Here is a 25,217-nt window from a genome sequence, read left to right on the forward strand (position 1 = left end):
AAAGGTACTTGTGTTTAAACAGATGACCAAGAATTGGGTGGGGAATGTATAGACTTTCCAGGCACATATAAAGGTTTGTAAGAACATAGTGTGTTAAGGGGTATGCAAATAGTACAACAGGTATGATCATTGAACACTAAAAATAGAGAATACCAAGAGAGTCAAGGACAAATTCATGTAGAATATGTAATAGACAAAATTGAGTAAGGAAAAGAGCCCAGATTTTGGAAACAACAGACCTCAGAGTTCTTCATTCCACTTTTACCATGTTTGTTTGCTTCCTTTTATGGACGATAGGAAACCTTTGATGAACTTCTGCTTTGCGGAAGAGAAGTGGTGATCATTTCACAATTTACGTTGTCAGATATGGTTAATTTGTATGGTTAATTTTTTATTTGAGCTGATGATTAAGGAGGATTAAGCATTAAAGGCTTTCATATTTTCCCAAAGGCAATTAATGAAAATTTTTATTTCACAGAAAAATCTTTAAGAATGGAGTCTAAACCTTCAAGGATTCCAAGAAGAATTTCTGTTCAACCTTCCAGCTCCTTAAGTGCTAGGATGATGTCTGGAAGCAGAGGAAGTAGTTTAAATGATACCTATCACTCAAGAGACTCTTCATTTAGATTGGATTCTGAATATCAGGTAACATTTTTATTTGGAATATATGTATACAGCCTTTTTCAAAATCCCTAGGGCCACTCTTTTGGGGGTATTTAAAAAATGTGTTAGCTGGATCTGAGGCATCCTGTAATCAAAACCAATATATATGTAGCAAAATGAATAACATTTTTCAAACTTTTTGGACTTCAGAATTATGGATAACAGATTGTAACCTCATATAAAATCATACTTTTGCGCTGGGAACGGTGGCTCACGCCTGTAATCCCAGCACTTTGGCAGGCTGAGACTGGCAGATCATTTGAGGTCAGGAGTTCGAGACCAGCCTGGCCAACATGACGAAACCCCGTCTCGACTAAAAATACAAAAAAATTAGCTGGACATGGTGGCACACACCTGTAATCCCAGCTACTTGGGAGGCCGAAGAGGGAGGATTGCTTGAACCCAGGAGGTGGAGGTTGCAGTGAGCTGAGATCATGAGACTGCACTCCAGCCTGGGTGACAGAGTGAGACTCCATCTCAAAAAAAAAAAAATGCTTTCCAAAGACTTGGAAAACCTTGTACGTAAAAACATAAGTATAAATTTAACTAAACTGGTCAATCAATGTGAATGGCTTTGTCAGAGGAACAAAAACTGTACCTCCTTTCCCTCTAAGATCACACTGATTCATCTGACTTTTCTCTGCATATACACAAAGCAGTGGTGAAATAACAAATGTTAAGTGTTTTTCTGTGAGATTATAACTTCTAAATATTTTGCTTTGAATGTTGAATAATTTTTAAATTAACAGGTTATCTTTTTATGAAAGTGCTAAAAGTCTTTTACATGAATTTTTAAATTTGATTTTTATGGTGAGTAATGAGTTTGTATTGGTATGTCCATCTACTCTTATGTAGCTAGTTTTCGTTAGGACCACAAGCTTTTTGTTTTGTTTGAAACAGGGTTTTGCTATGTTGCCCAGACTGGTCTCAAACTCTGGCTCAAATGACTCTCCCACCTCATTCTCCTGAGTAGCTGAGATTATAGGCACATGCCCACCATGCCTGGCTAGTTCTTTGGCTTTTGAAATGGCTTATCATTGTAGCAAATTTAAGCTCATTGCATTTTTGGCTGAATGTTATAATTAATGTTTGATTTGCAAAAGTCTGATGTTGAGGTAATCTAAAAGAATCCTTTGAAAATTTCTTTGTGTTAAGTATTTATATATTTATATGTTATGTGATCTGATATATGACAAAGTCTCATAAAAATGTTCGTACACAGTAGTAAGCATTCTTTAAGATATTCAGAGCAAGACTGAAGTAAAAAACAAAACAAAACAAAAAATGAAAATGCTCATATCTACTACCCATTTCTTAATTGACTTTATATGAACTGTTTACCTGGTCTCTATTTTATTTTAAACTGCAGCTCAGCGGAACCTAGTCTCATTTTAAATGTCAATTGATACTGTACATTTTCTGCTTCTAGACAAGTTTATGATTCCTAGAGGTGTAGAATCATATATTTTGCCTTCTGTAGAAATGTCATGGTGACATATAAAGGGCACAGAATTGTGTTTTCCTGTATTGTCTTCATAAAATTTTGTCTACTCATTTTTGTCTAATTTTAAAAATATATATAGCTTATTAATGAGGAACACAAATTTTGAAACCAGACTGTACTGCCTAGAGAGGAGTCATGTTTCATGACTTACTAGCTATTGACATCTTTTTCTGTTGTGATTGTTTTTGATTGTTTGTTTGTTTCTTTTTTTGAGACAGGATCTCACTCTGTTACCCAGGCTGGAGTGAGTGGTGCAATCACGGCTCACTACAGCCTAGACCTCCCAGGCTCAAGTGGTCCTCTCACCTCAGCCTCTCCTCCAGCAGCTAGGACTGCAGGGACGTGCCACCATGCCTAGCTAATTTTTGTGTTTTTTTGAAGAGATGGGGTTTCGCTATGTTGCCCAGGCAGGTCTCACACTCCTGGGCTCAACCATTCTGCCCACCTTCCCTCCCAGAGTGCTGGGATTACAGGTGTGAGCCACTGCACCTGGCCGACATCTTTTTGTATCACCTACTTTATCCAGTTGTTATAGTTACATGACAATGCTTTATGTTAAATGATAATAGTGCCTGGCATATGATAAATACTATATAAATGTTAGCTACTGTTGCATGTTTTTTATAATTGTTATAATAATTATTATAATAGTGTAGGTGCTAAAATCCTGAATATATTTAGTAAATTTATTGACATTCTCCTTAAGATATGACCGTTTTCAAACTGTTTCTTCTAACTTGTTAATGTTGTAGATTATTCAAAAAAGTTCATTTCTGGCCTGGCATGGTGGCTCACGCCTGTAGTCCCAGCACTTTGGGAGGCCGAGGCAGGTGGATCACCTGAGTTCGGGAGTTTGAGACCAGCCTAACCAACATGGAGAAACCCCGTCTCTACTAAAAAGACAAAATTAGCTGGGCGTGGTGGCGCATGCCTGTAGTCCTAGCTACTCGGGAGGCTGAGGCAGGAGAATCACTTGAATCCTGGAGACGGAAGTTGCCATGAGCCAAGATCGCGCCATTGCACTCCAGCCTGGGCAATAAGAGTGAAACTCCGTCTCAAAAAAAAAATTCCATTTCTTATTATGTTAAACAAATAGCATTTTTTAAAAAAAACCATTTAAATTTCAGCCGGGCACAGTGGCTCACGCCTGTAATCCCAGCACTTTGGGAGGCTTAGGCAGGCGGATCACAAGGTCAGGAGATCGAGACCATCCTGGCTAACACAGTGAAACCCCGTCTCCACTAAAATTACAAAAAATTAGCCGGGCGTGGTGGCGGGCGCCTGTAGTCCCAGCTACTCGGGAGGCTGAGGCAGGAGAATGGCATGAACCCTGGAGGCAGAGCTTGCAGTGAATCAAGATCACGCCACTGCACTCTAGCCTGGGCGACAGAGCGAGACTCTGTCTCAAAAAAAACAAAAAACAAAAAACAAAAAAAAATTTAAATGTCATGTTAATGACTTCAAAATGACCCCACCTAAATGATGGTTGTAGTAACATATTAGTGTTGATTTCATTCTGTTCCAAAATTTTCATGTATTTAAGTACCCAAGTAAAATTCAAAAATTACTTGCAAACATCCAAAAACCAAGTAGAATTTTTAAAATCTTTATTGATTCTTAAGATAAATTATTTTTATAAATTTTAGGTATTTTCTAAATGCTTTTTAGTTGCTTTAAGTTGCTTACAATCAGTTTTTTAATCGCTTTTTTCTTTTTAATGGTATGGGAGCAGTTTCAGCCATAAGTCAACCATTTTTAGGCTGCTTTGCTTATTTAGTTTTGATTTAGAAATTGAAACTCCTGTGTTCTTGAACAAAGTGTTACACTTTTTAAGAGACAGGGTCCTGCTCTGTCACCCAGCTTGTAGTGTAGTTGAGCAATCATGACTCGGCGCAGCCACAACTTTCTGGGCACAAGCAATCCTCCTGCCTCAGCCTCCTGAGTAGCTGGGACTACAGATGCGCAGCCCCCTGCCACACACACACACGTGGCTAATTTTTTAAAAAATTTTTCTTATAGAGATGGGGTCTTGCTGTGTTGCCCAGGCTGGATTCAAACTCCTGGCCTCCAGCAGTACTCCCACCTCAGCCTCCCAAAGTGATGGGATTACAGACATCTGCCATCATGCCTGGCCTGTATTTTATTTATCTGTATTTTCTTCTGTGAAATGGTGATAGTGATAGCGGTTTCTTCATACAGCCACATCTATATGTGAGATGTAAGATGAACAAGATTGTTCATCTTAATTGTTAAGATTAATTGAAAGAAAGAATACATGTGAAGCACTTGGAACAGTGCCTAGAACATAGTATAGGGGTTCAGGTGTTACTAATTATAATTATTTATAATTGTTATTTTTATTTAGTTATAATTATTTATAATTGTTAACTTTTACTGTTACCATTATTATTTCCTGGCTTTACATTGGTTTAAGATAATATCTGTAGGGTATAGTATAATGTTATCCAAATATTAAATTACATATAGTATGTTTAGTTTTATTTAGCATTGTTAAGATTACTCAGTGTCAAAGGGAGCATTTTAAAATTATTTAGTTTTTGAGACGGGTTCTCACACTCACCCAGGTTGGAGTATAGTAGCACAATCTCAGCTCACTGAAGCCTCTGCCTCCTGGGCTCAAGCAGTCCTCCCACCTCAGCCTCCTGAGTAGCTTGAGAATACAGGTGTGCACACCACACTGCACTGCTTTTTAAATTTTTTGTAGATGTGAAGTCTCACTGTATTGACCAGGCTGGTCTCGAACTTAGGAGATCAAGCAGTCTTCCTGCCTCACCCTCCAAAGGTGCTGGGATTACAGGCATGAGCTACTGCACCTGGCCAGAGGCAACATTAAAAAAAAAAAAAAAAGATTGTTGAGGCTTTTTAACTCACAACTCTTGGAGACATAAAACTTCTGTTATCTCAGGCACTTGGTAAATCTGAAGCTTCAGAGAAAAGAGGGTCAGGGGGTAGGACATGATCAATTTCAGTTATGTTATAGACTTAATATGGGAACACCTTATATAGTGCTTGACATTTTATAGAACATTTTTTACTTCTGTTTTTAGTTAACATGGATATTTGTGTCAGTTCATCGATAAGGTTCTGAAATCTAGAAATATAGGTGGTTTCTCTCACTTACACGATTATTATGTAATATACTTGAGCTTAAGAATCCAAGATTCTGGATAGCATTGTTTCTTTGGGAAAATGTAGATTCTAAGTTCCGAACAGTTGATTTCCTAAATATCTTTCAGTTCTCAGCCATTTGTAAGCTGCGCTTCACCTGCTACTAATCTTGCTGTTACTTCTGCTATCCCATCTTTAAATTTTTATCACAATTTGAATGATTGGCAACTATGATCATCTTATGTCTTTAGTAACAGTAAGCAAAATTTACATGTTTTTAAAGGAAAATTTAATTTCTATAAATATTGTTAAAAAGGGGTTATTTGTGGATATGTAATTTTGTTTTGGTGTATTTTTCTGTAACTTTAAGGAAGCACTAATCTGTTTAGTGTTTGTTCTGTTTTGCCTTGTTGAGAGGTTGATTACTTTTAATATGAAATAATTTTAAAAGGAGGCTTTTTATAAGGTTGTAGGGGCTTTTTAAAGTTATTGATACCTTTTTTTTTTTAGTTTGTAGATAACTGCTATAGAGATCAGTACCATTGCATATTTTGCATAGTGTAGAACCAGTGGTCATTAATTTTTAAAACTACCTTATGCAAGTGTAGTTTTCAAGGAAATAAATACATAGATGCATATACAATTAAACAAGAAAATGAAAACAGTTTAAAATAGGATAAGGAAATATACAGATAGAATACTGAGAGTAATAAATATGGAGAGTGGGTCAGAATTGTAACATTGATAGGCATTGCATAAACCCTGCAGCATTTTTAAGTTAAACTTGCTCTCATTTTGGGTATCAAGAAAATTGCAGGAAAACACAACTAGCTCTATAATGAGTATTGCATATAAGAAAAAGAGACTGGACATGGTGGCTCACTCCTTTAATCTCAGCACTTTGGGAGGCCAAGGTGGGAGGGTCACTTGTGGCCAGGAGTTCGAGACCAGTCTGGGTGACATAGTGGGACCCCTCTCTAAAAATAAAATGAAAAAAAAAAAAAAAAAAAGCCAGGCATGGTAGCACACATCTTAGTCCCAGCTACTCAGGAGGCTGAGGCAGGAAGATTGCTTGAGCCCAGGAGGTTGAGGTTGCAATGACCCTTGATCATGCAATTGCACTCCAGCTTGGGTGACAGAACAGGACCCTGTCTCAAAAAGAAAAAGATTTACCATTCCTCCAAGGAAACACAGCTTGTCAATTTGGTCTTAAAGTGTACAGTGGAGTGACATGAGTTTCTTCTGCATTGGTGTGGAGATGGGTACTCTCCATCACATGAATATTTCAAACAAGGGAGAGCTCAAAGTCTTAAGTTGTTGCTCATGGCTAAGGTAATGTTGTTCTGGAAGTCTTTCAAAGCAGGATTTATTCACTTCACAGTCAAGTCATTAACTCATGGAAATGAGGAGCCCAGGAAAAGAATATCATTCTGGGCTAGTTTCTGTTCCTGTGCATTACATGATTTTTAATTAATCATTTGCCAGTGGATAACATTGATGTAAATTTGCAAGTATCTTTAAAGTTCTTTTTTAAGAAATGACTTTATTAAGTTGTAATTTCACATACCATATAGTTTGCCCATTTAAAGTTCAGTAGTCTTCAGTATATTCACAGAGCTGCACAACCATTATGGTTATCACTGCACTGCTCCTCTAGTCCCTCTTCCCCTACCAGTGCAAAGCAACCATTAATCTACTTTATATCTGTACATTTCCCTATTTTGGATTTTCATATACATGAGTAGAAACAGGTACTATGTAGTCTTTTGTTAGTAGCTTCTTTGACTTAGCATATTTTCAGTGTTCATCTATATTGTAGCATATGTCAGTACTTTATTCTTTTTTGTGGCTGAATACTATTTCATTGTATGGATATGCCATATTTTGTTCATTTATTTTCTGATGGACATTTGGGTTGTTTCTACCTTCTGACTATTATGAATAATGCTGCTATAAACATTCATATGCAAGTTTCTGTGTGGACTTGTGTTTTCACTTGTGTTTGGTATGTACTAAGTGGAGCCAGGCATGTTGGCTCATGCCTGTAATCCCAGCACTTTGGGAGACAAAACGGCAGGAGTATTTAAGGCCAGGAGTACAAGACCAGCCTAGGCAATATAGTGATAGCCCATCTCTAAAAAAATTTCAAAACTAACCTGATATGGTGGTGCACACCTGTAGTCCTAACTTTTTGGGAGGCTGAGGTGGAAGGATCCCTTAAGCTCATAAGGTTGAGGCTTCAGTGAGCTATGATGGCACCACTTCACTACTGCTTGGGCCATAGAGTGAGACCCTGTCTCTTAAAATAAGGGAATGGAATTGCCGAGTCATGCATAACCTCTGTGTTCAATCGTTTGGGGAACTGCCATACTGTTTTCAAACTGGCTAGATCATTTTACATTCCCTTTTGTGTGTATGAAGATTCCAGTCTCTCCACATTCTCATCAGCACTTATCTTACTTTCTGATTCTAGCCATCCCAATGGGTATGAAGTGGTATGTATCTCATTGTGGTTTTGATTTGGATTTCCTTGATGACTAATGATGTTATACATCTTTTCATGTGCTAATTGGCCGTTTACTGTACATTTTTCAGAAATGCCTATTTATAATAGTTCCTTTGCTCATTTTAAAGTACACTTGTCTTGTTACTCAGTTGTAAGTGTTCTTTATATATTCTAGATACAAGCTCCTTATTGGATACATGATTTGCAAATATTTTCTCCTTAAGTTTTTTTATTTTTTTAATTGCATTGTTTTAAGGGCATTTGTGTTGGGAAAATATTTTAAAACCTTAGAAATAATTTTCTGAAAGCAAATATTGACTTATACAATAGTAATAGTAAATGATTTCATTGACTATACTTCCAGTAAACCTCTTGTTGGAAAGGTGGTATGAATAACTATTATGAAGGTAAAAAGAAATAAAATGAAAATTGGATGCCTGCTAGTTATATAAAGTCTTGGAAAGTTATTTTCTATTCATTGTGCATAGAGTATCTATAGCTATTAAGTCTCCAAGCTGTCTTATTGATGATTTCTCAGATACACTATATAGTATTTCAGCTACTTTGGTTGGGCTAGATAGCCCTCCACCTCTTCCCTCATTTTATTGAGTTATAATTCATATACCATACAATTCACCATATCACAGATAGCCTTTTGAATTGGAAATAACTGATGAAAACTATTTACTCTGGGAGCCAAATCTGTTACCTGTCTGGGTAGAGACTGGAAAGTTAATGAAAAAGAAAGAAACCTCTTTAAACTCCAGTGTAAATTTAGTTGCTTCCATCTAGTTTCATACGAGTGCTCATAGTCGGGAGGCAGGAAATGCAAAAAAAGATTGATTAGTTTTCATAAAAATTAAAATTTGTGTGCATCGATACCAAGAGAGTGAAAAGACAATCCACAGAATGAGAGAAAATATTTGCAAAGTATATATCTTACTGGATACTGAGACTTGTATCCAGAATATATGAAGAACTCTTACCTCTCAACAATAAAAATATAACCCAATTTCAAATGGGCAAAGGACTTTAATAAACATTTTTCCAAAGATATATTAATGGCTGATAAGCACATGAAAAAATATTAGTCATTAGGGAAATGCAAGTCAGAACTACAGTGAGATACTTAACACCCACTAGCATAGCCAAAATAAAAAAGATGGATAGGCTGGGCACAGTGACTCATGCCTGTAATCCCAGGCCTGAGTTGGGAGGCCAAATCTGGGAGGATTGCTTGAACCCAGGAATTTGAGACCTGTGCAACATAGTGAGACCCAGTCTCTACCAAGAAATAATTTAAAAATTAGCTGTGCATGGTGTCGCATGCCTGTAGTCTCAGCTACTCTGGAGGCTGAGGTGGAAGGATTGCTTGGGCCCAGGAAGTCAAGGCCACAGTCACCTGTGATTGCATCACTGCATTCTAGCCTGGGCAACAGAGCTGAGACCCTGTCTCAAAATTAAAAAAAAAGATGGACAATCACAGTGTTGGTAAGTGGTGGAGAAATTGGAACCTTCATACATAGTTGATGGGACTGTAAAATGGTACAGCTGTCAGCACTTGGAGTGTTGCTTTTCCAGCTAGAAGCCTCTGTGGCTGGTGGTGCCTTTGCCCAGGTTTTGCTCGGGCCTGCTGGGTGTGTTCTGCCTACTCGGACTGGCAGGCTTTGTTCGACTCGTGCTATCAGCTCGGATCCCACGCCTGCCAAGGGTGAGCCAGACATGGATCGGCAGGGGGTGCATGGGCAAGTGAGCGCAGGGTCCGGCCACCGTTTACAGCCAGGCACACTGGGTGCAGTGGGGCAGGCAGCTCTAGGCACTGGTGCCCTATGAGGCTGTGGATGGATCAGGTGTACCACAGGCAGCAGCTTCTGTGGGCACTGAGGAACGCAGTGGCACCCAAAAGCTTGGAGACACAAGGAACTACAGAGCCCCAAAGAGGTTGTCACAGCCCTGGTTCAGGGAGCTCCTAGGTCTGGACTCCCCAAAGGGTCAGAGCTCTTCCGTCCTTGTCGCCGGCAGCATGGTGAGTGGGGGGTAGGAAGGGATGTTTCAGCACTGTTTGTGTTACAGCTCTTCGAGTCCCACCATTTGGCGGGTCCCGAGTTCTTGTCCCACGTCCAGAGAGAATGAGGTACACAGACAGTTGGAGGGTTAGCAAGGCGAAGAGGGGCTTTATTGAGCAGTAGCACAGCTCTCAGGAGACCCAAAGTGGGTGGCTCCTTTCCACAGGCAGGTCATCCCAACGAGTGTGTAGCTTTCAGTGGAGAGGAGACCAGACAGGAGTGGGTAGCTCCTGTCCATAGGGAAGTCAGCCTGACATCTGGCTGAGTCAGATTTTCATGGGCTTCAGAGAAGAGGAAGTGCATGCTGATTGGTCCATGGGAGGCAATGGGTGGGCCTGGGATAAGCACCATAAGTTCTCACTCCGGTCCGTGGAACTGGCAGCCCAGCCTCCAGGCTTCAGGCCATCCCAGGCTTAAAGGTAGGGTTTCACTAGGGACCTGCCCCTTTTCACCCAGGAGCATGTCTGCCTCCTGCTACTGTTCATGGCACCCAGGCTGTTTGTGCCAAGGGATGCCTGCAGACCCATGCCAAGCCACCCTCAGTTCCCCCTTGGCTTCCCTTTGTGCTTGTTGGTGCCCAAAGTCCAGACGGGGGCCAAGGTAGCAGTGGGCTGGTGTGTCGGCACTGCCCCAAGCATGCGCATACACACCTGGATCGTGACAGTGCCCAAGCTTGGCCAAAACTTTGCTCCAAAATCGGAGCAGGAGGCGGGGGCGGGAAGGGAGGCTTCTCAGGCCCCTGAGAGCACAGGGATACCCAAGTCTACAGCCACAGCTGGGTCAGGGAGCACAGGGCTCCCACCCCACCAACTTGGAAGTGGTCAGGGCTCCCACCTGTTGCTGACTCTGTGGAGCGCACAGACCCTGCCACGCCTCCCCTGCTGCAGCCGGCGTCTTTGTGGCAGCCGCTCCAGATGAACTGCTGCTGCCATCACAGCTGTTAGCATCAACCTATAGTTGGAAAAATAGTAATTCCCCCAAATATCAAACATCAAGTTACTACATGATCTATCAGTTACACCCAAGAGTATTGAAAACATACATCCATACAAAAATTTACAGTTGTTCATAACGGCATTGTTTATAAGTGAAAACAACCCCAAAACTACTTGTTTAAGGATTCGTCATGCCCAATGTGGTATACTTTGAAGACAGACTTATTCCCTGATTTCATTTGGCCTATAGTTCTGGACAGCAGAAGAGATAATACATTGTTAAATGAATCTGACACTTTATTTAATTGTTCAAAGAATTCCGAGGGAAAAAAACAATTGCTTCAGACTGAGGATATTTGAACAAATATGGACAAAATTGGATTGTAGGAACCAGGAAAAGGTTTGATTTTGAACTCAAGCCAATAGCAAAACTAACCAAAACATTCCTTCTATATACTGACATTATGTATACTGATATGTATATCTATATGCTGATATTAACAAACATTTTTTGTCTTGGATATAGCCATATAATCTACATGTTGTGTCGTGAGTCATGAAAATTGTTTAATGAACAGTGAGTGTCACTTTAAGTCTTTGGACACTTCAGCATTCAAGAATCAAATGAAATTCATTATCTAAATCTGCTCCCCTATAATCAGTATTTTTAATGAATGGCATAGTCATTTATTTCACCAGTAGACAGTACCAAAAAACTTTTTTCTCTATTTCTCACATTGTCCCTAAATCTGATGAATTTTTATCTTTTATAATTGCCCTCTATTCCCATTACTTCATAGGGACTTATTTCTTGATATTCTAATGGCTTCCTAATTGGTTTTCTTTCTGTTCATCTATTTCGTCTTCCACATGCCTCTAAAAGTCTTTCTATATAGTAGTAGATCTGATTTATCCCCCCCTTCATTAGTTCCCAAAATCATGTTTGCAGAAGTGCTGTTCAGTAAGTTTATGCAGTCTGTGCAAAATGAGAAAAATAATGACAAGTTATGGAGTTTGTACAAATGTATTCAATTTAAAGTGCTCATTCTGAATTATATCCTTTATTCCTTTTTTAAAAATTGGGGACAGGATTAGGTATTAGTTGCTATTTTAGATGTCCTACTGGTCAAAAGTGACAGTTCTTTCTCAATTTTAAATTAAAACATTTTTTTATTTTGGTCTCTGAAATCCAGAGGTTTTAGAACCACTGGCCTGCAGGATAAGGTCCCTGATACCTTGATGATGATGGCATATGAAATGGTTTGATTCTAAAATATCAAATTAATTTCATTTCTTGTGCTAGCTCCAGTTCATTGATTGGGTGTCTGTAATATTAGGTACAGAAGGCTTGTGAGACTAAGTTTGTGCTAAGCTGAAAAATGCCATTATCAATTTACAAAATATTCTCTAGGCAAAGGATGGGCGAATTCCTGATGTAGCCCATTCCTACCTTTTCAGCCTCACACCTTCTACTTTATTTTCAAAGTTTCTTTTCCAGTGTTACCATGAACTAATACATCCCCTGAATGCAGGCAATATGTTTCTCATAATTGAACCATATTGGCTGGGTGCAGTGCCTCATGCCTGTAATCCCAGCTGTTTGGGAGGCTGAGGCAGGAGGATCACTTGAACCCAGGAGTTCAAAACAAGCTTGGGCAACATAGTGGGACCCCATCTCTATAAAAAATAAATTTAAAAATTAATAATTGAAGTATAATAGAAAATAAAGTATAAATAGTAATGTCTTAGAAGAAAGCCAGGCCAGATGTGGTGGCTCACACCTGTAATCCTAGCACTTTGAGATGCTAAGGCAGAGGATTGTTTGAGCCCAGGAATTCAAGACCAGCTAGGCAACATGGTGAGACCCTGTCTCTACAAAATAAAAATTACCTAGCCATGATGATATGTGCCTGTGGTCCCAGCTACTCTGGAGACTGAGGTGGGAGGATCAAGGCAGCAGTGAGCTGTGATTGTGCCACTGCACTCCAGCCTGGGCAACAGAGTGAGATGCTGTCTCAAAAAAAAACAACAAAAAAATCTGATGGTAAAATGGTTTATACGTCTTTTTGTGTTGTTTATTTGTAATGTCTTTTTTCATTCATCTACCCCGTGAACTTCAGTTACCATCTTTGACTCTTCCCCTGTGTCCTTCAAACATAGTTAGGGTCTTTCTGTAAAACTTTCACTGTACTTACTATTATAGTACTTATTTATAGTGTAATTATTTATTTACTTATCTGTTACCTGTACTGTAGAGCTTTGATGGACTACATTATTTGGGTTCTCATGTTTATCATGTGAATTTTAGATGAATGTAGACTGAAATTATGGCCCATGATGCATTCCATTTTAACTCTTTTGTTAAACAGAAGAACACTTAAAAGAATTTGGTTTCATTTTAATGTTCTTTAGCATAATAAACTATTTACCACATACTTAACTCATGGTAACATGCTTTAAAAAATTATTTTTCTTTTATATCCTGAAAAATTACTTTTATTTTAGAGGTCCTTACTGTCTCTGAGCCATTTAGAGATTATATGCCAAATCTGTGTTTCTTAGTTTATCTGTGTCCTGTCTGTGTGTGTGTGTCCAGATAATTACTTTGCCATGATGGAAACATTTTTGTAAAAAGAATAGTACAATTTCAATAATTGTGGTTGAAATATGTTGTCAATTAAACCTAAATATTTAAGGAGACAAACTGTTGCCTTTTTAATGCATTGTAGTGAGTGAACTTAACAAATTAAAGAATTGGAGAGAAGTAAAATAGTTTGTACATTATCAGTGATACTTGTTTACAAGCTTTATTTTGTGTACATATATGTTAAAAGAGAAAACCATGAGCCATGTTTTAAAATATGTACTTGTTTTAGTTGTTGATTCACTGATGAAGAAATTTCTGATGTTAGGATTTTTTTTTTTTGTTTTTTAGCATACTGTTACTAGTGTTGTATGACCGTATTCTGGAGACTAGGCATCAGAACAAGGATAAATTTGTTATTAGTTGAAAAATCTGATTTTCATGGTAGGGTAATTCACAGTTTCTTTATAGCTTAGTGTTCTGTCTACCTCTAAGAGGTGGACAGGGTTCCTGAAAAGACTGAAATATTAAACCAGTACAACAAGGATTTCATTTTCAAAAAGAAAAAAACAAATATTAGGAAAAATGATTACAGTTTTTGGTCTTCAGTGTTTCATAACCAAGTGTTTATAAAAAAAAAGGACTTACTCTGCATCAGATTGAGAGCCCAGCAAAGTACAATTATAGTGTATAGTAAATGGACAAGTGGGTAGAAGGAACAAAGACTAAAGAAGAACTACATGGTGGAGGCCAGGCACAGAGGCTCGTGCCTGTAATCCCAGCGGCCGAGGCAGGCAGATCATGAGGTCAGGAGTTTGAGACCAGCCTGACCAACATGGTGAAACCCTGTCTCTACTAAAAATACAAAAATTAGCCGGGCGTGGTGGCACACACCTGTAATGCCAGCTACTCAGGAGGCTGAGGCAGGAGAATCGTTTGAACCCTGGAGGCAAAGGTTACAGTGAGCCAAGATTGCCCCACTGCACTCCAGCTTGGGCAACAGAGCAAGACTCAGTCTCAAAAAAAAAAAAGAACTACGTGGTAGAAAAATTGATGCTTGTGGGAATTTATTAGAGGACTGTGGGTTAAATTTAGTACTGAATGCAGCCTTTTGTTGTTTAAAAAATTTTTTTGAACTCACAGTCTACATCAGCATCAGCATCTGCGTCACCATTTCAATCTGCATGGTATAGTGAATCTGAGATAACTCAGGGAGCACGCTCAAGATCGCAGAACCAGCAACGGGATCATGATTCAAAAAGACCTAAACTTTCCTGTACAAACTGTACTACCTCAGCTGGGAGAAATGTTGGAAATGGTTTAAACACATTATCAGGTAAGAATGAGTTTCTGTAGGTATTTTAAGCCGTTTTTCTCCAGGTGTAACACAGTTGTTCTTAGTTTTGGAATGAGGCAAGTAGATTTTATATGAAGACAGTGGGTCAGAAATGTAGTGGAATTTCCAAAATCTTACTTTAAATTAATGCTAGAACTGATACTCTTCTGCATTTTTCTTGTAAAATTGATATAGATATCCTAAACAGGACATTAGCAGATTTTAATTAGAATAGCTGGTATTTTATGATAATCAAATTGGTAAATGTATGTATTCTTTTGGTTATTATATTTTGTAATTGTTACAAGGAAAGCTAAATCTACTGATATGTTTAAAATATTGCTTAAGCATGTCTTATATAAATGATAAACATTGTAGTACATAATATTTATTTTCAGAAAATACGGAGGCTAAGGCAGGATGATCGCTTGAGGCCAGGAGTTTAAGGCCAGCCTAGACAACATAGTGAGACCCTGTTTCTACCAAAAAAAAAAAAAGAGAGAATTAGCTGGGCATGGTGGTGCATGCCTGTAGTCCCCAGCCACTTGAGGGGCTGAGGCTGGAGGATCGCTTGGTCCCAGGAGTTTGAGGTTATGGTGAGCTATGATCATGCCAATGCACTGTAGCCTGGTAGACAGAGCAAGACTCTGTTTCTTAAACAAAAAACAAATACAGAAACTCTTGAGTTACAAAAAAATGGTGGTTATTTTAGTAGGAGTTCTTTTTTTTTTTTTTTTTTTTTTTTTTTTTTGGAGACGGAGTCTCGCTCTGTCGCCCAGGCTGGAGTGCAGTGGCGGGATCTCGGCTCACTGCAAGCTCCGCCTCCCGGGTTCACGCCATTCTCCTGCCTCAGCCTCCCAAGTAGCTGGGACTACAGGCGCCCGCCACTACGCCCGGCTAATTTTTTGTATTTTTAGTAGAGACGGGGTTTCACCGTTTTTAGCCGGGATGGTCTCGATCTCCTGACCTCGTGATCCGCCCACCTCGGCCTCCCAAAGCGCTGGGATTACAGGCGTGAGCCACCGCGCCCGGCCTAGTAGGAGTTCTATACAAGGGATTAGAAAGTCATAGTTTTAGTCCTCTAACTAGATGAGTGGCATTGGGCAAGATACTAACCACTCTGGGATTTGGATGGTCTATCCATAAAGCTTCATGCCTGGTATTATGTACTGAGACACATATTTTTCACACACGTTGAAAAGATCTTTTGTTGAAAGGTCAGGAGGCTACCGTCTCACTCATACTCCTCTTCCAATGAAATGTTAGCCAGTGCCAGTGTTTAAGAGGAGCCAAAACTTGTGGTGACACAATTGGAGGTAAAATTCTTTAAATGTTTGTGTATTACCAGTTGAAGTAGTGTAAGCAGTTCCTGTCTATTTTGATAAGCTGGAATGCCATGGGAAAGACGTGCCTATCTGAAGGATATTAAGAATGTTGTGATAGCTAAGAGCAGACTGTTAATAACTTTGTAGACAAACACCACTGTGCCAGAGATATTTTTGTTCTCTTCTGCTATGTGAAAACGTTATAAATACTCTAGGCCATTTCTCTTAATAAAGAGGAATTATTAAGGCTACTAAGATTAGGGAAGAAAGAATCAAAATTTCAAGGTAAATAGTGAAGGAAAGAGGTTTGAGACTTAATGTTTAATTTACTTTTAAATCATATCTAATAAAATTACGATAACTGTAACAATACTTTGATTCTTAGAATTAAGAATTCTAGAATAAAAAATCAAGCAACTGTGGTAGCAGTAAAAATAATTCTGATGAAATTGTGTTGTTCACATCTTCCCTTTCCGGATGCCTTTGATTTTGATACTGGCAGTTCTCCAGCATCACTTTCATTGACTTTTTTTGTGAAATTCTCCATCTTTGGCAAGATTTACATTTTTGTTCTGTAATCGTTTTACATAATGTATAGGTAGATGTTGTGAGAAGTGATTGAGACATTGACATTGTGTATGGGGTAGATTTTAATGTTAGGCAGAGAAGAATATGTTTAGAGTAGGAAATAATTTTATAAGTGATTAGTTCATTTGTGAATAGTTTTATGTTTTACTGAATTGTGTTTCTGATAACAACTATATAACCGGGGATTCTCATGATAAACAACAGTAAGGCCGGGTGCGGTGGCTCGTGCTGTGATCCCAGCACTTTGGGAGGCCGGGGTGGGCGGATCACTAGAGGTCAGGAGTTTGAGACCAGCCTGGCCGACAGGGTGAAACCCCATCTTCACTAAAAATACAAAAATTAGCCGGGCATGGTGGCACGCGCCTTGTAGTCCCAGATATTCAGGAGGCTGAGGCAGGAGAATCACTTGAACCCAGAAGGTGGAGGTTGCTGTGAGCTGAGATCGTGCCACTACACTCCAGCCTGGGTGACAGAGTGAGACTCCGTCTCAAATAATAATAATAATAATAAATAACACTAACTTTCCTCTCTATTACTGAAGATTGTCATCATCCAAAGCCTTGAAAGCTTTCTCTGAAATAAAACTTCTTCATTTATTTTAAGATTCATCTTGGAGGCATAGTCAAGTTCCTAGATCTTCATCAATGGTACTTGGATCATTTGGAACAGACTTAATGAGAGAGAGGAGAGATTTGGAGAGAAGAACAGATTCCTCTATTAGTAATCTTATGGATTATAGTCACCGAAGTGGTGATTTCACAACTTCATCATGTATGTATAAATTACATCAAGTATAACTTCTCATAATGTTCCATTTTCCTCTTTATGCATGTTACTAAAACAACAGTACAAAGGAGTAAAGTGTATATTTTGTCTTATGAAGATTTCAGAATACCTTAATATTTTTTTCTAGTACTTGTTTTGACCTTAAAAAATAATTTAAAATACAGTCGATGAATATGAGTATCTAGATTCCATCTACCTTTACGTTGTTTAACTTGCATTTTTCCTTTTAAGAACGTCTGTTAGAAAGTAACATACTAAATCGTATATCCTCAAATAGAATTTGCCTGTAACAGATGTAGTTTAATAAATAACTACTTCTGATTATTCTTCTACTTCTGAAATAACTGAAAGTTGAAATCACCATTTTAAGGCATAATTTGCAATTACTTTAGTATAACATGGATGTGCCTCTAGTTTTATTAAATTGACCTCAAGACCCACACTTTGTTTTTGGTTTGTTTGTTCTGAGATGGAGTTTTGCTCTTGTTACCCAGGCTGGGGTGCAATGGCACGACGTCAGCTCACTGCAGCCTTCGCCTCCTGGGTTCAAGCGATTCTCCTGTGTCAGCCTCTCAAGTAGCTGGGGTTACAGGCATATGCCACCATGCCCAGCTAATTTTGTGTTTTTAGTAGAGACTGGGTTTCACCATGTTGGCCAGGCTGGTCTTGAACTCCTGACCTCAGGTGATCCAACCGCCTCAGCCTCCCAAAGTGTTGAGATTACAGGTATGAGCCACTGCACACAGCCACACTTTGTATCATTGTACATAGCCTTAAACTATCATACTAAGTAACTGAAGAAAAAGGTGCTAATTGAAGTTGACAAATATAGTAGGCAGAAATGGAGTTTGATTTACATAGTAGGAAATAATGTTTTGTTTTTAAAGGTTTAGGTTATTTTAATTTATCTTACTGGGGGAAATCTTTATTTATGACAAATGAAAACATTTTATCTGCTTGGCTTTGGATGGTAGAGCTTTAGTAGACAGTATCAATAGCTTTTAGGTTTTGGAGTATAAAAGTACAGGATAGAAATAGATTTAGTTCCTAACATTTACCCTTTCATAAAGCTCCATATATCAGCAGAGTAGTAATTTAGCTCTTACACAGGTTAATGGGTAGTTTCTTTGCAAAGGAATCCTGTAGTATTTCTCATCCCATTTGAAGATTTAAACCACCAGTTAAGGAATCCTTTGAAAAGTGCAGATGTCATAGCCCTATTCTGATTCATAGTTCCTAGCCAGTATTTTAGCAAATATAACACACGTAATTCTAAATATTGGCTAGGAACTATAGGATAAGAACCACAGCTGTTAACCTGAAAGAAAAAAAAATTGGAAAAATTTTTAGCTATTAGCAAGATTTTTCATAAAATTACAAGGGTTTAAAACAGCTTTTTAATTTATTGCACAGAGTAAAAAAAAATCTCCAAAACAGTCTCCCTAGGATGGATTTGCTTTTAATCATTTTAAGAGTCATTTACATTGTATTATTTGGCCTGTTCAAAATCGTCTCAATTTAAATACTAGATATTATTGTATCATACCAAATAATTTCTGATCAATAAATTCAGCTGTTTTAATTTTATCAAATAAAATTTTCATAAGCTCATAATACATTTCTTTTTTATATATTTGTAATGTTGACTTTACACAGCAGTACTGGATTTTACCAGTAGGAATAGAAAGAGAAATACATTTATGTTTTTTCTATAATAATAGTAAACTCTGTAGTTACAATATAACAGTATTAAGTTTGAATCCAGTGCTTCGTTTTGGCATTCAACATAATAAATGCAAATAATAATGCTCAAATTATTTCATGTAATTGGTTATCTTCCTTTCAAAAATAGATGTTCAAGACAGAGTTCCTTCATATTCACAAGGAGCAAGACCAAAAGAAAACTCAATGAGCACTTTACAGTTGAATACATCATCCACAAACCACCAATTGCCTTCTGAACATCAGACCATACTAAGTTCTAGGGACTCCAGAAATTCTTTAAGATCAAATTTTTCTTCAAGAGAATCAGAATCTTCCCGAAGCAATACGCAGCCTGGATTTTCTTACAGTTCAAGTAGAGATGAAGCCCCAATCATAAGCAATTCAGAAAGGGTTGTTTCATCTCAAAGACCATTTCAAGAATCTTCTGACAATGAAGGTAGGCGGACAACGAGGAGATTGCTGTCACGCATAGCTTCTAGCATGTCATCTACTTTTTTTTCACGAAGATCTAGTCAGGATTCCTTGAATACAAGATCATTGAATTCTGAAAATTCTTACGTTTCTCCAAGAATCTTGACAGCTTCACAGTCCCGTAGTAATGTACCATCAGCTTCTGAAGTTCCCGATAATAGGGCATCTGAAGCTTCTCAGGGATTTCGATTTCTTAGGCGAAGATGGGGTTTGTCATCTCTTAGCCACAATCATAGCTCTGAGTCAGATTCAGAAAATTTTAACCAAGAATCTGAAGGTAGAAATACAGGACCATGGTTATCTTCCTCACTTAGAAATAGATGCACACCTTTGTTCTCTAGAAGGAGGCGAGAGGGAAGAGATGAATCTTCAAGGATACCTACCTCTGATACATCATCTAGATCTCATATTTTTAGAAGAGAATCAAATGAAGTGGTTCACCTTGAAGCACAGAATGATCCTCTTGGAGCTGCTGCCAACAGACCACAAGCATCTGCAGCATCAAGCAGTGCCACAACAGGTGGCTCTACATCAGATTCGGCTCAAGGTGGAAGAAATACAGGAATATCAGGGATTCTTCCTGGTTCCTTATTCCGGTTTGCAGTCCCTCCAGCACTTGGGAGTAATTTGACCGACAATGTCATGATCACAGTAGATATTATTCCTTCAGGTTGGAATTCAGCTGATGGTAAAAGTGATAAAACTAAAAGTGCGCCTTCAAGAGATCCAGAAAGATTGCAGAAAATAAAAGAGAGGTAAATTCGAATACCTGTCTTAAGCCTATAAATCAAAAATAGAGAAAGAACTCTTCATTTCTTTTTTTTCTTTTCTTTTTTTTTTTTTTTTTTGAGACGGAGTCTCAGTCTGTCACCCAGGCTGGAGTGTAATGGCACCATCTCGGCTCACTGCAGCCTCGGCCTTCCAGGTTCAAGCAGTTCTCCTGTTTCAGCCTCCCGAGTAGCTGGGACTACAGGTGCACTCCACCACACGTGGCTAATTTTAGAATTTTAGTAGGGACGGGGTTTCACCATGTTGGTCAGGCTGGTCTCAAACTCCTGACCTTAGGTGATCCACCCACCTCGGCCTCCCAAAGTGCTGGGATTACAGGCATGAGCCACTGTGCCCAGCCTAAAACTCTTCATTTCAAAATTGGCTTCTTATAAAATTGAAATCTGAAGGGTTGTTTTGTTTTTGTTTTTTTTTGTTGTTGTTGTTGTTGTTGAGATGGAGTCTCTGTTGCCCAGGTTGGAGTGCAGTGGCACAGTCTTGGCTCACTGCAACCTCCGCCTCCCTGGTTCAAGCAATTCTCCTGCCTCAGCCTCCCAAGTAGCTGGGATTACAGGCGCCTGCCACCATACCTGGCTAATTTTTGTATTTTTAGTAGAGGCAGGGTTTCACCACATTGGCCAGGCTGGTCTCGAACTCCTGACCTCAAATGATCCACCTGCCTCCACCTCTCAAAGTACTGGGATTACAGGCATGAGTCACTACTTCCAGCAGGAAATTTCATCCCTTTACATCCAGTAAGATGTTTCATTCATAGGTAAATAGATAAGAATTAATAACTGAAGGTAGGCAATGGTTGGGGCGGGGGGGGCGGTTGTGAATTGTGTCAGAAAGTAAAGGTTATTTTAACCGGGTTGGAATACATATACATGCAAAGACAAAAACCTTAATGTCTTACCCAATTCCTTAGTAGACTAATGCTAAATGGGGTTAGTAAGAGGAACTGGATGACCATGGATTACCAATAAATCTGTCTTAGCCTTTATTAAGATGATTTATTAACCATTTATTTACATTTCTCACTGCAAATCTTTTTTTGGAATTTGATGCACAAAATTTACTTTGATTCACAAGATAAAATTTGATGCACAAAATAATTTTTGTGTTTGAAGTCCAAGTATATACTGAATATTCTCTTTCTTTAAACTTTTTGTAGAGACAGGGTCTCGCTTTGCTTCCCATGCTGGTCTCAAACTCCTGGCTTCAAGCGATCCTCATGCTTCAGCCTCCAAAAGTGCTGAAATTACAGGCATGAGCCACCATGCCCAGCCAGTTCTTTAGATATTAGTATTTAACAGAGATACCAGTTTAGGCCGGGCGCAGTGGTTCACGCTGTAATCCCAGCACTTTGGGAGGCCAAGGTGGGCAGATCACAAGGTCAGGAGATTGAGACCATCCTGGCTAACATGCTGAAACCCTGTCTCTATTAAAAATACAAAATTTAGCTGGGTGTGGTGGCATGCACCTGTAGTCGCAGCTACTCAGGAGGCTGAGGCAGGAGAATTGCTTGAACCTGGGAGGTGGAGGTTGCAGTGAGCTGAGATTGCACCACTGCACTCCAACCAGGCGACAGAGCAAGACTCTGTCTCAAAATAAAATAAAATAAAATAAAATAACAGTTTAAATGCAGGGCATAGAATCTTTTTATACAAAGAAATCTTTATAGAGTTGAAGGTTGCTTATAAATCACTGTTAAGAGTGAAAAGACAAAAAAACAGAGATCTTAGTCCCAGCCTGACTCTTAATTTAGTCATCCTAGTCTAATTACTTAGTATTAAAATAGTTATTAAAATGAGATAAATTAGTTTATTTGAAATACACTTGGAGGAAGAAAAGACTTATATAAAGTTAATGTTGTGGGATTTTTTTTTTCTTTTTCACAAAGGCCTAATAGAATTGTTGGGAAGCATAATTGTTACTGTTATTTTTAGATTTTTTTGTACTTTAATAAGAAAATACTTTCAAATCCAACTCTGGTGATAAAGGAAACTCTGCACACTTTCTGAGATGTTGGGCATTGGGCTACCATACTCCTATTTTTCATTTTATAGGACAGATTTTACCATGTGGCTGTTATTTTCCTGCTTTTAAACTTGCTATTTTTCCTTTTTTGTAGAAAGAGATTTACTCTACCCTGGTAGTGTTTGCTTTAATGTTTGCTTGTTACAGCAGCTTCCTCCAATTGCAGGCTGTCTGCTGTCTGCTAAGGGATGTAGTAACATATTTTCAGCCCTTAAGGTTAGATTAATTTAAGTACAGTAGTGTAGGCAGAGAGCAAAGCGTTACTTTAGTTATCTTCAGAGAGAAATGATTGAGCCAGTACCACTCTATCTGGTTAATTAAAAAGCAGCATTTGGTTATTTTGCCAGAGAGAGTGTGTGTGTATGTTTGTATTTCTGTATTACATCTTTCCTCATACCTAAGGATTTTAAGACATTCTACAATTAAAAATGGTACAGAAAAATTGAATCCACCAAGTGAATAGTTGAAACCAGGAAGGGAAGAAAGTTAAAGGTAAAATGTAAATACCATGTTTTCAATCTTTAAAAATAATTTATGCTTGAGGTTATGTCTGATTAACCCAGGGCATGAAAGTCTCCTAGCGGCTGTATATCCATCTCTTTTCACAAATCTTTTGCTAAGTTCATTTAGGAATCCATGTATTCCAGGTTGTATTTCAGTAACAGTTCAGCATTCTGTATTACCAATTTACTGTATACCTGTTTCATGCCAACAGTGGACTAACGCAGTAGGAATTTTAACAACTACTTACCTTATTATATAAAACTATTACTCTGCATTTATATATTAAGCAGTACACAATGGCCTGTTAAATAGAGGACGTAGGTTAATGGAATCTTTTATAAGATTGCTGCGCCGAGGGGGCAGATGGAGAATTTTAAAGCATTCTTTCAAATTTTTTTCTGTAATACAAAAGTTTATCAGTTTAAACATGGTTCTGGTAACATGTAAATGAGAATCTACAAGCCAGTATGTGTTTAATTCATGGAAGTAGCCCTAAAATTTGAGGGGAGGCAAGGGGCAAAAGTGATAAGTTTATCTTACCTTTATACTGTTGGACTTGAAGTAGTCTGGAATACTACAGAAATTAAAATCTCTTAGGGGTACTTGTAAAGTCATTGAGAAAAATATAGATCTTAAACTGTCATTTGCCAATGACAAAATTACTTAAATCATTTGAAAATAAATGATAGGTTAGCCTATTTTACTTACCTTTAAAATACTTGTTACAATTTTTATTCTCAATGAGAGAGTTTTTCATTTTCAATCAGAGGGTTGCTGATGAATATAATTGTTATTGTTTTGTTGTTGTTACTGTTTGCTTTTTTCCACCCAGAGACAGTGTGAGTAGAAATAACAAAAAAGAAAGCTTGTGATTATGTATGACTGAAGTAACCAACCAGGATGAGTTATGATAGCTTTGGGAAATGTGCCTTCTTTTCCAGCCTCCTTTTAGAGGACTCAGAAGAAGAAGAAGGTGACTTATGTAGAATTTGTCAAATGGCAGCTGCATCATCATCTAATTTGCTGATAGAGCCATGCAAGTGCACAGGAAGTTTGCAGTATGTCCACCAAGACTGTATGAAAAAGTGGTTACAGGCCAAAATTAACTCTGGTAAGATTTACCCTTTTGTGTTTTCACAATTTTTCTAAGAGATGCATGTATGTATGCGTTTGGTTAACAAATTTATAGATTGTTGAATTTAGACTTTTAACAAGTGTCTTAATCATTTTTGAAGTCTCAGCAGAAGCATTAAAGAGCATTAGTGTTTCTTTGTAAATTTTTAGTAATGTGTCTTATGTTTCATTTCCTACCAAACTGTTTACTACTTCATACATGTATAATACAGCTGTAATTTGTGATCACTAGTGTGTCCCTTAAATCATGGAAGATCCTTTTGAATCAAGGAAATAGACTCACCATTTACCAGCTGTGTGTCCTTGAGAAAGATTTATTTCTAATGTTGCTGTTGTGTCACTTGGCAAATTACGATTATAGGCTACTGTGGGGATTTATTTGTTCATTGAGTGCCTGTAATGGAGCCCAGGCACAGTAGTTCTAGATGTTGGTTATAGGATGGTAAAAAGACAAGGCACCTGCTTCTTGTAGTGATATTGGGTGTTAAGGAAGTGCCTTTTTGAGGTGAGAACATGTAAATTGAGAGCTGAGCTATTCCATAATTAGGGGAAGAGCACTCTAGCATAGGGAACAGCAAGTTCAAAGACTTTAGGGTGGGAATCAACTTAGGTCTATTTGAGGAGCTGAATTATGCATAGTGTGGCTGGTGTATAATTAGTCTTAGTCGGGGAGGGGAGATAAAGTTGTGATGAGAGGCCGGGCGCGGTGGCTCATGCCTGTAATCCCAGCACTTTGGGAGGCCGAGACGGGCGGATCACGAGGTCAGGAGATCGAGACCATCCTGGCTAACACGGTGAAACCCCATCTCTACTAAAAATAAAAAAAAATTAGCCAACCTGGTGGCGGGCGCCTGTAGTCCCAGCTAGAATGGCATGAACCCAGGAGGCGGAGCTTGCAGTGAGCCGAGATTGCGCCACTGCACTCCAGCCTGGGCAACAGAGCGAGACTCCATGTCAAAAAAAAAAAAAGTTGAGATGAGAAAGATTAGCAGAAGTTAGTTCGTGCAAGACTTTTAAAGGCCCAAATCTTGGATTTAAATATGATGGGAAGCTGCTAAAGAAAAAGGGAATGAAATGATCTTATTAATATTTGGCTGCTTTGTGGAGAATGGATTTTTAGGGGGACAAGAGTAGTACAGGGAGACGAACCAGG

General features: G+C 38.5%; 1 protein-coding gene across 53 annotated transcripts in view, besides 1 other annotated feature; it reads left to right on the top strand.

The window, feature by feature from the left end:
- Positions 1 to 25,217, top strand: part of MARCHF7 (membrane associated ring-CH-type finger 7) — a 58,522-nt gene that overhangs the window by 16,025 nt on the left and 17,280 nt on the right. For 29 of the 53 annotated variants that reach the window (NR_164794.1, NR_164792.1, NR_164793.1 and 26 more), the window contains 5 exons: positions 479 to 645; positions 14,531 to 14,723; positions 17,240 to 17,407; positions 19,275 to 20,373; positions 23,872 to 24,041. Coding sequence is in view for 46 of the 53 variants with exons in the window: in XM_047445513.1 (XP_047301469.1) it covers positions 493 to 645; positions 14,531 to 14,723; positions 17,240 to 17,407; positions 19,275 to 20,373; positions 23,872 to 24,041 (1,783 nt within the window). In the remaining 7 variants the exon portion in view is untranslated. Of the gene's footprint in view, positions 1 to 478; positions 646 to 5,433; positions 5,553 to 14,530; positions 14,724 to 17,239; positions 17,408 to 19,274; positions 20,374 to 23,871; positions 24,042 to 25,217 lie in introns of those variants that run through there. The other 24 variants (NR_164795.1, XM_047445527.1, XM_047445524.1 and 21 more) reach the window with 9 other exon arrangements.
- Positions 9,059 to 10,051: an enhancer, noted in NCBI's record as "H3K27ac-H3K4me1 hESC enhancer chr2:160594100-160595092 (GRCh37/hg19 assembly coordinates)". NCBI's record gives its function as "activates a minimal SCP1, AML or CMV promoter by ChIP-STARR-seq in primed H9 embryonic stem cells {active_cell/tissue: H9 hESC(primed)}" and the evidence as "EXISTENCE:reporter gene assay evidence [ECO:0000049][PMID:30033119]".

Source organism: Homo sapiens, chromosome 2, assembly GCF_000001405.40.
Source record: "Homo sapiens chromosome 2, GRCh38.p14 Primary Assembly".
NCBI lineage: Eukaryota > Metazoa > Chordata > Mammalia > Primates > Hominidae > Homo > Homo sapiens.